Raw genomic sequence first — 14,064 nt, forward strand, 5'->3', positions numbered from 1 at the left:
GGGGGGCAGTGGGGAGGAGTGAGAGGTGTTGGCAGGACAAGGAGTTCGGGTTAGGTGCACAGCTGCCCTTAGAGCCCTCAGGGCCAAATGGAGAAGCCAGAGGGTTCCAGGAATGCCATTCCTCCAGGCTCACCAGCCCCAGAGGCAAGGAATGTAGGGTTCTTCTTGCGCCCAGGGGAAGGTTGTTGGCCCCTGGCTTGCCTGGCTCCAGCCTATCATCTTCTAAGATGCACAGGCTCTTTCACTCCCCAGCAGCTCCTGTGTGCCCAGGATTGATGGGGAAATGAGGCCCCGGGTTGTGGTCATCTGGAGCACACTGTCCCCACTCCTGGTCCTATGGGGTCAGCTGGGTCAGGATTTTCTCCAAAACTCTGAGTAAAGACAGGGATGGAGGAGGCCATGCTATTCCACAGGTGTGTCCTGGTCTTGTGGTGACTGCCACAGGCCCTGGGTACATGACCTGCCTTCAGCCCTTGCAATCAGGGTCACGGCCTCTGATCACGTGAAGGTCTCATGCTTGTCATCAGGGTCACAACCCTGGTGCAGGTCCTCAGCCCTTGTCATCAGAGTCAGGACTCCTGGGTGAATGTCCTGTCCTTGTCATTGGGGTCATGACCCTTCGGTGAAGGTCTCACTCTCATTATAGGGGTCCCGACCCTGGGTGCAGGTCCTGCCCTCAGCCCTCTGCCCTCATCATGGTCTGTCTGCTCTGACACCCTTCCTACATCTCCTGTCTCACCAAGTCATGTCCCTGCATACAGTTGCTACACCTCCTGCCTCTAGCTCCTGCTTAGAAAGTTCTCTCCTCCCATCTTTCAAAGCTCTACTGCCACCTCCTACTCCAGGGCTGCAAGGCTGTGAGGCTGCAGTGGGCCCTCTGCCCCTTCTCTTGTACCTAGCAGAACCGTGGGCCTCATGGGCCTGTGGTCATTGGCAGGTGGGTTGGATGTCCCACTGGCTCTGTTTCTGCCCTGGACCACAGCAGGTAGAGCAGGGCTGCAGAGGATGCTGGGCGCAGCCCTGGTGGCTAAGGCCTCATGGTGTCATCTCTGTCCAGCTTGTTCACTTGTGGTCCATTTGCTAACACTTGTGTGTGGCCAGGGGCACAGGCACATGAAATGCAGACCCCAGGTGCATACCCACAGAGGCTCCTCCCCAGCTGCGAGGCTTCTGACAGGGAGTCGCCCCCGAGCTTTCAGAAGAGTCCAGCGCTACACAAGGACGCAAGGAGCATGGATGGTCCTAGGCTGAGATATCATGCAGCCTGGCAGGTGCAGAGAAACAGGGTCTTTTTGGGGAGTCATTTTCTCCAACACTGAGGTGGGAGAGGGCTGGGGAGGCTGGCAGGGCTGGACCATGGAGAGCCATGGGGGCCAGGCCAGGGGTCAGGGTGGCAAGGCAGGATCAGACACGTTTTAGAAAGGCCCTTTGCCAGTTGACAGGGAGGTGGGAGGAGAGGAGAAGGGGAGCCTGGACAAAGGTAGGCACTGGGCCTGGGAGGAAGGTATGTGGGACCGGGGCCTGGGTCTCCTGGGCTGAGAAGGGAAAGTCCAGCAGGGGTGGGGTTGTAGAAGGGAGGGCAGCAGGCCTGGCCTCTACATCTCCATAAACTCTTGATTTCCAGCTGATGCCCCTACTCTGCAGAAACACTGACCCTGGGGAGATTCTGAGGCTCAGGTCAATGCCTTGGGTAGAGAATGAGGAGGTAATGAGCCCTGAATGGAGTGGCTTTTCACTGTTCCAGCCAAGGGGCCCCCTTCTTTACAGCTGGGGGCCTTGAAGCTCAGCTTGGTCAGGGACTTGCCAGTATCACACTGGGATTGGGGAGTGGCCCTGGGACTACCCTTGGCCTCTGGAGCCCCAGGGCCAGGCTGGGAGTCAGAGCACCACCCTGCTCTGTCTTCTTAGAAAAGTGGCCCAGACTGCTGTCCCACACTACTCATGTCGTACAGGGTCAGAGACCCACAGTGGGCCTAAGGCCCTACTGAGGCCTGGTTCTGAGATGAGGTTTCTGGGAGAAGCCCCCTTGGCCGTCCTTTCTCTAGCGGTGGCAGAGCTGGGTGCTCTAGCCTACTAGAAAGATTTCAGTGGCTCCCGCCATGCTCTGCAGACATGGCGGTCCTTCAGCCTACTTACCCCCATGACATTTTGCAATTTTATTTTCTTTGCTAACATTAGAGGACCATTAAAAGCTAGCTTTCTGGTGTGGGAATACAGAAAGACCACCCACATGAGAACAGGCAAAATCTCTTCATCTAGAGCTGCTCTAGCAAGGGGGCTGGCCGCCATCACTGCATTTGGCCAAGACTCACAGGCAGGCAGAGGGAAAGGGAGGGAAAGCTTCACAGTGGAAAAGGGAGGCTCAGGTGAGCCCTGATGGAGGCAGCCAGCCCGGGGAAGCTGGGGCAGCTCACTAGAAAGGGGGCTGCCTATGTGATTGGTTAGAAGAGCATATTTGTTTTGTTTCTGGCTGGTCCTAAGTTGGAAGCAGGGACAAAAATTAGGGAAGCTGCCAGTTATTAATCAAGTTCTGGCCATTTGGGGCCGATTGTTAGAGGGGTTATTGTTTGGCCTTCCAGGATCGTTGCTAGAGAGAGTGGTCTGACTTCCTATGCATTTGGCTGCATAGGAATAGCAGGCTGGCATCCCGGCTGGTTGCTGCAGACTATGGGACAAGTTCTACTCATATGTATGGCCTGGCTATTGTCCTATTTGATATTCAGTCTCTCCCTGGTTTCTCCTGAGGAATCAGAAGAAAGACCTTTGGCAGCTAGGCAATCCAGATCAACTTCCCCTCTGAGGATGACTCAAGAAGCTGAACAATAATAGCCCCCAAAAGTCTTACTGAAAGCATCAAAAAGCTAGCAAGATCTGGAAGAAGACAAGAACCCAGCGGGGTGAGCCTAGACGTTCCAAGCTGCTTTTGCTCTGGAGGCATTTCCAGTTCCAGGGAATTAGCCTGAAGATGAGCTTTGTTTCTGGCCCTGTCCTTGGACTGGAGGTCTAGACGCCAAAGCCCAGTAAGATGTAAGAGGACAACATTTCACCTGATTTTTAATGCAGCTCTGCCAGTTTTCTTTTGGCAATGTCTATTGGTGATACTAATCTTGACCAATTTTTGCCGAGCGTCTCCACTGCTCAGAAAGAGACTAGCAGCCCTGACATCCGGGGGCCATGCCTTAGGGTGCTCCTGCTGAACACAAACAATTACCCAAAACATCGACCTCAGAGAAAGAAGCCTGCTCCATAATCAAGTGTAACTCAGGAGAACATCAACTAACCACAAAATGGCCCAACAGCTCCCTCTCCTGGGTCATGTGAGCAATTGCTGCTTCTTTACCAACTATAACTTTAGCTGAAGATATTTCATCACAGAATTAATTACTCCTGCTGCCTGACAGCCTCCCACCCAGAAAAAAACCCTGTTTTCTTAAACCCTCCCCCAAAATCAAGGCCCAATCTCATGAGGCCTTTATAACACCCTCTCCCCAAGTCGCCTTATGGTTCTCCAAAGCCTGTGTTCTCCCTTGTTACTGCAGCAAGAAATAAACCCAACTTGTTCAACCTGGTGGCCTTCGCCTGGAAGTCTTAACACTGAAAAGTGACTCTGTGTATCTCTCCATTTGTAGTTAATAAATATCTTGGGGGTTGAATTTGAGATTATACTAATAACTTGTTCTTTTCAAACTTGTGCCCGCTAATTTTAACATTCGTTGGTGGATCTTGTCTGTACCACTTATTACTGTGGTGTTTGCCTGATGGTAGTTTGTCTTCGTTCTTCTACACTTATTAACTGGAATTATTCTGTAAGGAAAGGCTGCCCTTTGCCCCATCATTTATTAGATTACTTAGCACTTTGTTCCAGCTTTGGCCATTGGGAGTGCCTTGAGATTGGCTCCCATGTTCTTTTGACAACTGTTCTTTTTTTTGGGCACTTTCTCACTTTCTGGCATGAGAAGATGCTCCAAACTCATCTTGTAGCTTCCCTGCTTCAACCTGGGAATGAGCCATTTTTCTAAGGATCATGGTGCCTTTTTACTGGAGAATGGTGCTTAGAAGCTGAGATCCTAGCAGAGCTGTCCATGCTCCTGGGTTGTCCCTTGTTGAGGCTCTCTCATCAGCAGACAGGCTAGGAAATATACGCATGTCTGCTAACCCACGCGTGGACATGCATGTGTATTTCTGTGTCTATCTGTTTGTATGCAGATTAAAGTCCTGAGTTTATACTGATACCTCTGGTTCCAAACCAACACAATGGGGCTCGCTTTAGCCTTTCCTCACTTGTAACTTCTTTTTCCAACAGTGAGAAACCCAGCTGTCATTATTATGATATTCTTACTAATTTTTTCAGTTCTAGTCCATGCCTCAAGTAGTTTCAGAATTGCTTGCCACACCCTTGGAGGAAATACATTCACTGGCTACATTACAGCATTTCTTTTTTTTTTTTTTTTGAGACATAGTCTCACTCTGTCTCCCAGGCTGGAGTGCAGTGGCACGATCTCGGCTCACTGCAACCTCCGCCTCCTGGGTTCAAGTGATTCTCCTGCCTCAGCCTTCTGAGTAGCTGGGATTACAGGCACGTGCCACCATGCACAGCTAATTTTTATATTTTTAGTAGAGACAGGGTTTCACCATGTTGGTCAGGCTCGTCTTGAACTCCTGACCTCAGGTGATCCACCCTCGTCAGCCTCCCAAAGTGCTGGGATTACAGGCGTGAGCCACCGTGCCTGGCCCATCGCAGGATTTCTGTGCGGTTCTTTTTGCCTTTAGCCATACAGGATCCAGTCCCGGTACTGTTTTCCACAATGACTTAGGTGAGCTCTTTTCCTCCCTGCTCCCTTCAATGCAGCTGTGCTGTTCATTTGCAGTGCTGTGAAGCTCAAGTGCTACTGTCTGCATTCCATTTTGGGTTTTGCTTGTTTTTTGAGTGTGTGAACTCTACTTTAACTCTAAGAGTCACACAAAAGGCTAGAGACGCAGAGTGTACCCCTCCCCATCCTATCACTTTGTTCTCATCCCCCTGGGTACCCTTTTTCCACCCTTCTCTTAGGTGACCAATCTCTTTAGCTCCTCATTTATCCTTTTCTATATTTCTTTGGCACAAATGAGCATGTACATGTCTATTTTCTTCTCTCTTTTTGAGACAGAGTTTTGCTCTTGTCACCCAGGCTGGAGTGCAATGGCACTATCTCGGCTCACTGCAATCTCCACCTCCTGTGTTCAATGATTCTCCTGCCTCAGCCTCTCAAGTAGCTGGGACTACAGGCATGCGCCACCATGCCCAGCTAATTTTTGTATCTTTAGTAGATGCGGGGTTTCACCCGTGTTGGCCAGGCTGGTCTGGAACTCCTGACCTCAGGTGATCCGCCCGCCTCGGCCTCCCAAAATGCTGGGATTACAGGCATGAGCCACCACACTGGCCCATAATCCACAAGTTTAATATGTGGTAGTTTCATTATTTTTCAGTTCAAATATTTTATCATTTCCATTTTTATTTCTTCTTTTGCTCATGGTTTATTAGAAGCATATTTCTTTAGCTGTTAAAAAGGAGGAAGAGGCGACAGAGCGAGACTCCGTCTCAACAAAAAAAAAAAAAAAAAAAAAAAAAAAGGAGGAAGAGCTCCACAATTGAGGTGAGGGTATTTCTAAGACATACTTTAAGTGAAAAAGGCAAAACACAAACAAGTATCCATAAAATGTTATCCTTCAGGTAGGAAAGAAGGGGATGTAAGAAAATAGACATGTCAACTGGGCGTGGAGGAGGAGCATTTCTTCCTTTGCTCTTTCCAGCGGCCATATGAGCAGTGTCATCTACGTTCTGCAGATAAGGAAATGGACTGAGAATTCATTTGCTCTTTCCAGCAGCCCTATGAACAGAGTCATCTATGTTCTGCAGATAAGGAAATGGACTGAGAACTTAGACAGGGAGTGTGTCTTCTTTCTCTCTGCACCCCGATGCCTGAAAATGTCGACTGGAAGACACCTAGGCCTGCAAGGCTGTGAGGGAAGTCAGGGGGTCCCAAGGGCTGCCTGTGGCCACCCTGACTTGGATCTGGAACACCTGCTCCTCCTTACTCATTGCTGCCTGGCGTGGCTCCACACTTACCCACTCCTCCAAAAAATGGCCCTGGCTAGGTTGGGTTTACAGTGGATTATTAATGCTTTGATAATCCTGCCTGCCCTCTCCCTCCGCCCTCTCTCTGTCTCCCCAGCCTCCTGCTCCTCCTCTGGTCTTCCTGTCCAGTCATGCTGCCACTGTCCTGCCTTTATTCTGTAGGCTGAAACATTCCTGCCTCCTGCTTCTAGTCTTCAAGTAAACTTTCAAGTAGCGTATGTTCCTCAAACATGGCTCTCAGGGAGCAGATCTTACCAGGAGTGGAAAAGGCTCCCCGTTGCCTGTCATGTGGTATATACACTTCTAGAAAGCCCTCCATAAATCCATTTCAGTAAAAGGGACATTTACCACTGCTAAGAAGGGATGGCTGAGCACACTAGTTCTTCACTTAACAACCAGAGTTATTTACAGAATCTCCTTCCTACACATGCTTTTGGGATTTCAAGTTTGAATTGTGACTTGAGTCTTACTCTGTCACCCAGACTGGAGTGCAGTGGTCCAATCATGGTGCACTGTGGCCTCATCCTCCTGGGCTCAAGCAATCCCCTTAGTTCAGCCTCCCAAATAGCTGGGACTACAGGTGCACATGACCATGCCCATCCAATTTCTAAAATTTTTTTTGTAGGGATGGGGTCTCACTGTGTTGCCCAGGCTGGTTTCGAATTCCTGGCCTCCCAAATGAACTCTGAAAAATTTTTTTTTGTATTTTTTATTTTTTTATAGAGACAGTCTCACTGTGTTGCCCAGGCTGGTCTCAAACTCTTGGCCTCAAGTGATCCTCCTGCCTTGGCCTCTCAAAGTGTTGGGATTACAGCTGTGAGCCACCGTGCCTGGCTTGACTTAATTTTTAATAAAATGTGTGTTTCAGTAGGGTTTCCTTTGTTCTGCATGGCTAATTATTGTACTGAGCCACGTCTTCCATGCCCAGAGGACATCTGTGTTTCAGTCAATGGACCCCATTGCTCCCCATCCTTGCCCACAGGTGCTTAGGCTGCTCCTCCTCTCAAGCTCTTAGACTCATGCATCAAAACATCCAAACAAGGTCCCTCTTCTCCAGATATCTACCTCTTCTCCTACAGTGTCTCTTCCTGCCTGAGTCCACCCTGTCTCACTCTGTCCTCTGCTTGCCTACGTGTATAAACCATACTCCTCAGAAGCATGAAAAGCTGCAGGCTGAGATCTTATTAGGCTGGGCCAACGTGGAGTGCAGTGGGACTGCCCTGCAGTAGTGGGAGTCGTGGGGCGGCCACTGTTCCTGCCAGCTCAGGGGTGGAAGAGGAGCATTTCTTCATTTGCTCTTTCCAGCAGCCCTATGAGCAGGGTCATCTATGTTCTGCAGATAAGGAAATGGACTGAGAACTTTAGAAAAGGACCTGGGAGCCAGGGTCTGAAACAAAGTCTGTTTGACACCAGAGTGAGGACAATCATTCTGCCCCGGCTTTGATTGCATTTTATGGTGAGGCTCAAAAGAGAAAATGGGAAAACTTCCTATGGGCTGTGACATGCTGTATAACGTTGGGCATAGTGGTTACTAGAAGTCCTTGTAAGCACTGTGAGCCAAGAAGGCCAGCGGGGTTGAGTGCTACTAGAAGGTTAACAGGCTGTCTTCTAAGAGGCCTCACGAGGTGGGGATACCTCAGTGGTACTGTAGTATCGCCACAGCATCCAGGCTTAGGGCCTTAACCTCACAGGCCCAGAAATGCACAGAAAACTTCATACACAAGGAAGGACTATGTGTTAGTTTATTCTCACATTGCTATAAAGAACTACCTGAGACTGGATAATTTATGAAGAAAAGAGGTTTAATTGACTCACAGTTCCACAGGCTGTTCAGGAGGCATGGCTGGGGAGGCCTCAGGAAACCTACAATCATACCGGAAGGGGAAGTGAGTACCTTCTTCTCATAGTGGCAGGAGAGAAGAGTTCTCGAGAGAGTGTGAGAGAAGGGGGAGGTGCTACACACTTTTAAATGATCAAGTCTTGTGAAAGCTCACTCACTATCACGAGAACAACAAGGGAGAAATCTGCCCCCGTAACCCAATCACCTTCTACCAGGCCCCTCCTCTGACACATGGAATCTCAGGTGTGAACATACTCCTCTGGCCTCCCGGGCTTTCTTGTTCCACCTATCTTCTGTTTCACCCAGAGTATGGCCATTCTCCAGGTCCTATGTCTGTCCTGATTTCTACACAGGTGACTCTTTAGCCATTTTAGGTGCTACTTGGGTCATTGGAAGAGATGATCCAAGGTAAGTTTGGGAAAGGCAGTGCTATGGGATGAAAAGAGCCAACAATTGACTGAGTCAACAAACTGGACCCCACGCTAGCTCTTTTGTGTGTGTGTGTGTTTCTTTTTTTTTAAATTATTATACTTTAAGTTCTAGGGTACATGTGCACAACGTGCAGGTTTGTTACATATGTATACATGTGCCATGTTGGTGTGCTGCACCCATTAACTCATCATTTACATTAGGTATTTCTCTTAATGCGATTCCTCCCCCCTCCCCCCACCTCACGACAGGCACCGGTGTGCGGTGTACCCCACCCTGTGTCCAAGTGTTCTAATTGTTCAATTCCCACCCATGAGTGAGAACATGTGGTGTTTGGTTTTCTGTCCTTGCGACAGTTTGTTCAGAATGATGGTTTCCAGCTTCATCCATGTCCCTACAAAGGATGTGAACTCATCCTTTTTTATGGCTGCATAGTATTCCATGGTGTATATGTGCCACATTTTCTTAATCCAGTCTATCATTGATGGACATTTGGGTTGGTTCCAAGTCTTTGCTATTGTGAATAGTGCCACAATAAACACACATGTGCATGTGTCTTTATAGTAGCATGATTTATAATCCTTTGGGTATATACCCAGTAATGGGATCACTGGACCCCATGCTAGCTTAACCACCGTCCCCTCTCTGGGTCTCAGATTTGCAACAGGTGGCGGGAGTGTGGGAACTATGGGCCTCACCCCAGAGTGGCTTCCAGGAAAGAACTTCCTGAAGCTGTGTGTGTGGCTGCCTTTGCACTCTGCAGCCATTTTATTCCAGGAATGTAACACATAGGCCTGTGCAAAGATTTTACCATGAAATCACATTGTTATTTGTTGTACAGAAAATCTAACACTAGAAAGTTGGTGATGTCCATTGTGATATCCACACAAAGGAATACTATTCAGCCATCAGAAGCCTTCTTTTTACAGTAGGGCTGAAAAGGGGAGGAGAAAATAATTTTCACTTTATGTATTACTGTGTTGCACAAGGTTTAAATTGATATATTTCTGTCTTCTTTACTGCTACCACCATGTACTCCTTTAACTTTATAGAAGGTTTTATTATTACCAAATAGTAAAATGGTCATAACAAACTAAGAAAAAACATCAGTATCTTCCCTGTTGTAAAATCTAATGAAGACAGATAAAGGATTTCCAATCACGGCAGACACAGTACTGGCAGAATGGTCATACTCAGGACACGAGAAAGCCAGGGAAGCCAAAGAGCACATTCACACCTGGCATTCCAGGTGCCCAGTGCATGTTCTCAGAGCAGCAGCAGGGGAGCCTGGAGGGTTATGATTTCACATGAATCTAACTAAAAAACGTAAAAAGTAGGCTGGAAGGTATTATGATTTTTTTTTCTAAAGTCAATATGCCACAGATGATTTTTATTTCCTTTTGTTTCACTTCATTTTTTATTTCTTCCCCCAAAACGACATGTACCACTTCTGTAAAGTGCAGAAAATGCAAACACAAAAACCCGGAAGGTGCCTTCCAAGTCTGCGAACTGCACAGGAGCCTGTGCCCCCCACCTCTCCAGAAGCCTGCCTTTCCCCAACTACCAACACCAGTTTCAGATCTTTTGCTATCATGAGGGTTCAGGACAGCTCTGCTCTGACATCCAGAAAGGAGGAGAGTCCCAGGTCAGCCATTTGGCCCTGGACAAATAGCCCTTTATTTACTTCTTTCTCCCTGTAATATGGGGACAGACAAAAATGAAGTTATTAAGTGCCTATGAACTAAGAGCTTCTGGCATACTTCATCTTTTTTTTTTTTTTTTTTTTTTTTTTAGACAGAATCTTGCTCTGTTACCCAGGGTGGAGTACAGTGGCGTGATCTTGGCTCACTGCAAACTCCACCTCCTGGGTTCAAGCGATTCTCATGCCTCAGCCTCCTGAGTAGCTGGGATTACAGGCACCTGACACCACGCCTGGCTAATTTTTGTATTTTTAGTAGAGATGGGGTTTCTCCATATTGGCCAGGCTGGTCTCAAACTCCTGACCTCAGGTGATCTGCCCTCCTCGGCCTCCCAATATGCTAGGATTACAGGTGTGAGCCACCGCACCTGGCCTACTTCATATTACTATTATTATTATTATTTTAAAAGATTCCCAAAGCAAAATCCTGGCATCCAAGAAAATCTGGAAGGAACATCTTCAGTTTCATGGCCCATGTCTCTTGCATTTCTCCTCAACACTTCTTGTGCCAAATGCTCACCTCCCTGACAGGGACCATCTTTGGTATTCACCAAGTCCTCCAGATCTCTGATGAAGGCCTCCCCCTTTTTCAGTTCAGGATATCAAGTCTGGCTTTGGGTAAGCACAGTCAGCACTGAGAGGCTACCCCGTTAGGCTAGTGTCCTTGAGCTCTTAGTCAGAAAGCCCATTCACAGCCACAGCATTTACTTTGACTCATTAGAGGTGTAACCTATTGAGAAAGATAAAGGAATAAGCAGAGGACTCAGGGATTCATTCATCCCACAAAAATCTGAGTCTCTACTATGTGCGAGGCTCTCTACTGGGCATCAGAGGCTTGAAGATGGGTAAGACAGGATTGCCGCTCTCATACGGCTGAGGAATACTATATGCAGTTTTGCCCCATCTCCTGCTCACACTCTCCCTGGCTCTGTATTTTATGTTACTATATTTCCCCTGCCTTTGCATCTGCCATGACTATGACTGTAACTATCCTGAGAGCCAGGGTGAGCATCTTCCAAGTTGTAGACTCACCATTCTTCTCAGCTTTTTGTCCTGTTTTTGACTTAATTAAACAGGAACCTGGGCTCTTGTGAGCAGGATTAGGGGAAAGAGCGATGAGTGGCTATAAGGCATCAAGGACTTGATTCTATTCCGAGACCAGGAGGTCAGCGAGAATGAACCATTCCAAAGGGATCTTGCCTTGAATCCATGCCCCAGCCTTGTGTGAGGGAGAGTGTGTGTGTGCCCATCCTATTGCTGGGGTGGTGTGTCTAGTGTGTGTCTAGTGTAAATTGGATCACAGTGGTGTGTTGAATGTGGGAAGGATCTGGCAGAGTGATTCAGTCCTCAGATGAGGGTATCTGGAGGGTGGGGTTCAGGGAGCTGTCCCTTGTTTGCTTTTCTGCTTGTTGAGTTTGAGGCACAGGTAGAGGACAGACTGGGGGCAGAGAGGTCAGGGTCATTTCAGATTTGTCTGCACAGGGTGCAGAATGCATGGTCTTAATGGTCATGGATTATATTGCCAAGAGGTGCTGAGGGAAGAGAGAGACTGCCAAGGGCCAGTCTTGGAGAAAGCCTGTGTTCTTAGGGCAAGGGAGGGAGAGAAAGACACTGAGAGGAGTGACTGAAGAATACCAGGAAGGAGAAAGTATGGGGGGTGGGGTGGAGGGAGTAGGGAGATGGGGGAGGGGAGGTAAGGGGGCCGCAAGTGCCAAATGCTGCCAAAGTTGGAGAAAATGAGGTCTGGCAGTGTTCACAGGGGTTGGGAACCAGGAGCGTACTTTGGAGCTTTCAGTGGCGCCTTTTCAGGAAATATCAAGACTAGAGGGAAAGGTTAAGATGAAAGGTGGCGAGTAGCGGGAAAGATGGTTGGAGGGTAGATGCTCCAAGAGTTGGTTTGTAAGGCAAACGTGGCAGAATTGGCTTTGGAAACAGAACCCCATATACCATCCCTGGAGTGGAGGGAGGGTGAAGATGAGGCGTGTAAAGATGAAACGGGGGAGCAGAGAGCACATCAACTTTTACCCAGTACAGGAGGCCACGGGGCCATCCACAGAAAGTGATAGGGACAGGAATGCAGCTGATGCTCTGGGGGACTGGGAGGTCTCGGTTGATAGCAGGCAGCTGTCCTTCGTTGAGCTTCGGGCTGAGCTTTGTGCTCAGGGCCTTAGACTTCATCATTATCTTAGCTATCTCCACAAAATCCTTCCAGACCAGACATTACCCTCATTTTACAGACCAGGAAACTGGGGCTTAGAAAGGCCAAGTAATTTTCTCCATGTGACATAGTTGGGAGGTGATGAAGCCAAGAGGTGAACACTTAACCCCATACCTAGGAGGGGATCAGCTGTGGGGCGATGCTGAGCCCTCCTACAAGGCTGCCCACGCAGCAGGACTGCTGGGCTGCTGCAGGCGTGGGGAGAAGCCATTTTAATAATGAAATGGAGAGACCCATAAGGCAGGCATAAGTATTGCTGAGACTTTTATTTTTGATTCTAGAGAGTCCAGAATACATGATTTGATGCAAGGAGGGCTGCCTTATCTTGGAGAATCAGATCAGGAATGTCCTGGGCCCCCCAGTTCTGCCGGGTAAGGGCGGCAAGGGCCGCATGGGTAGGCGGGGCTCGTCAGCCACATTCTCAAGAAAATCTTTTCCAATCTGGGCAACATAGTGAGACCCCATCTTTAGAAAAAACAAATTAGGTGGGCATGGTGGCATGTGCCCTTAGTCCCAGCTACTCAGGAGGCTGAGGCAAGAGGATGGGTTGAGCCTGGGAGGTTGAGGCTGCAGTGAGCAATGATGGCGCCACTGCACTGCAGCCTGGGTGACAGCATGAGACCCTGTGTCAAAAAAAAAAAAAAAAGCTCTGTGCTCCAAGGTGATGGGAGCTACTTTGGCATTTGTGGCCACCCACCGAAAACCAGAGGATGGGAAAAGTTTGCCAGGGAATGCTGATGGCGGGGGGGCACCGTCTTTGGGATAGTGGGAGAGGCTGCTGTGCTGGGGATCGCTCCAGCACTGGTCTGGGGCTTGGGGCTCCTCAGCTGTGCCTCTGCACCCGGGGCCCTTGGATTTGGTTTCCTCCTCCGTGGCTGTAGGGACCCTACAGAAGTGTCCTCTCAGCCTCTGTTCTTCTGGAAGGCTTGGGACAACCTGATGCAGACCTGGGGACTATGGCTAATGAGTGTGGGAGCCCCAGACAGAAAGCCAAATGGGAGGGGTGGGGGGTGTAGAGGCTGTAGGCTGGGCCCCTGTGGTTGGAGAGGAAGGTTTAAGACACAGTCAGGAAGGCTCTGAGGGCTGCCCAGACATAGTCTCTGAGGGGCCCTTTTGAACAGCATTAGGATGGGGCTAGCCTAGGAACCTCTAGGAAAGGAGCCAGGCTCACCCAGGGCTGGAACTTGTAGTTGAGGTGTCCTCTTCAGCATTGTCTGTCCCGTAAGCATAAGGCTGGGGGGCTGGCGGACATCAGGCAGTGTACCCAACATGGGGCAAAAGGGCTTTTACAGCCAGCGGAGCCAGGTGCTGTGAGCAGTATGAACGAAGGCAGGCCGGGAGCAGGGCCGTGGGCCTGGGCTCGGGAGGAAACCGCTGAGCAAGGTGGGCTGTATCCCCAAGTAAGGAGTCCCTGCAGGGGGTGGACGGGAGTTGACAGGCTCAGGCTGAGCTCCACTGGGCTACACTGAGTGTCTCAGGCCTCTCCATCTCAGGCCACGATTGTCCTGGGGCCAGCTGGGGTGGAGGTGGCAGCAAGGTCAAAGGGCAAGAGAGGTAGACAAGGCTAGAAGCACTAAATGCTCTGGGAACCCCAGGTGTGACTTAGAGATGACTGTGGAAGGGAGGGCAAGTGGGCCACCTACTGGGCAATAGGCCAGGGGGCAGCGGTCACAGAGTCACTGGCTTCTGAGACCAGACATGAGCAAGAGTTGGGCCTTAGGCACGGAATAGCACACCCTGTTGCTGCCCCCGAATACCCCCTA

At 49.4% G+C, this 14,064-nt stretch overlaps 2 annotated features.

Annotated features, from left to right (window-relative positions):
- Positions 799-1,299: an enhancer, noted in NCBI's record as "H3K4me1 hESC enhancer chr7:45173420-45173920 (GRCh37/hg19 assembly coordinates)". NCBI's record gives its function as "activates a minimal SCP1, AML or CMV promoter by ChIP-STARR-seq in primed H9 embryonic stem cells {active_cell/tissue: H9 hESC(primed)}" and the evidence as "EXISTENCE:reporter gene assay evidence [ECO:0000049][PMID:30033119]".
- Positions 7,841-7,910: an enhancer, noted in NCBI's record as "active region_25970". NCBI's record gives its function as "activates an Ori minimal core promoter by ATAC-STARR-seq in GM12878 lymphoblastoid cells {active_cell/tissue: GM12878}" and the evidence as "EXISTENCE:reporter gene assay evidence [ECO:0000049][PMID:35858748]".

This window comes from Homo sapiens, chromosome 7 (genome assembly GCF_000001405.40).
Source record: "Homo sapiens chromosome 7, GRCh38.p14 Primary Assembly".
NCBI classification, from domain to species: Eukaryota; Metazoa; Chordata; class Mammalia; order Primates; family Hominidae; genus Homo; species Homo sapiens.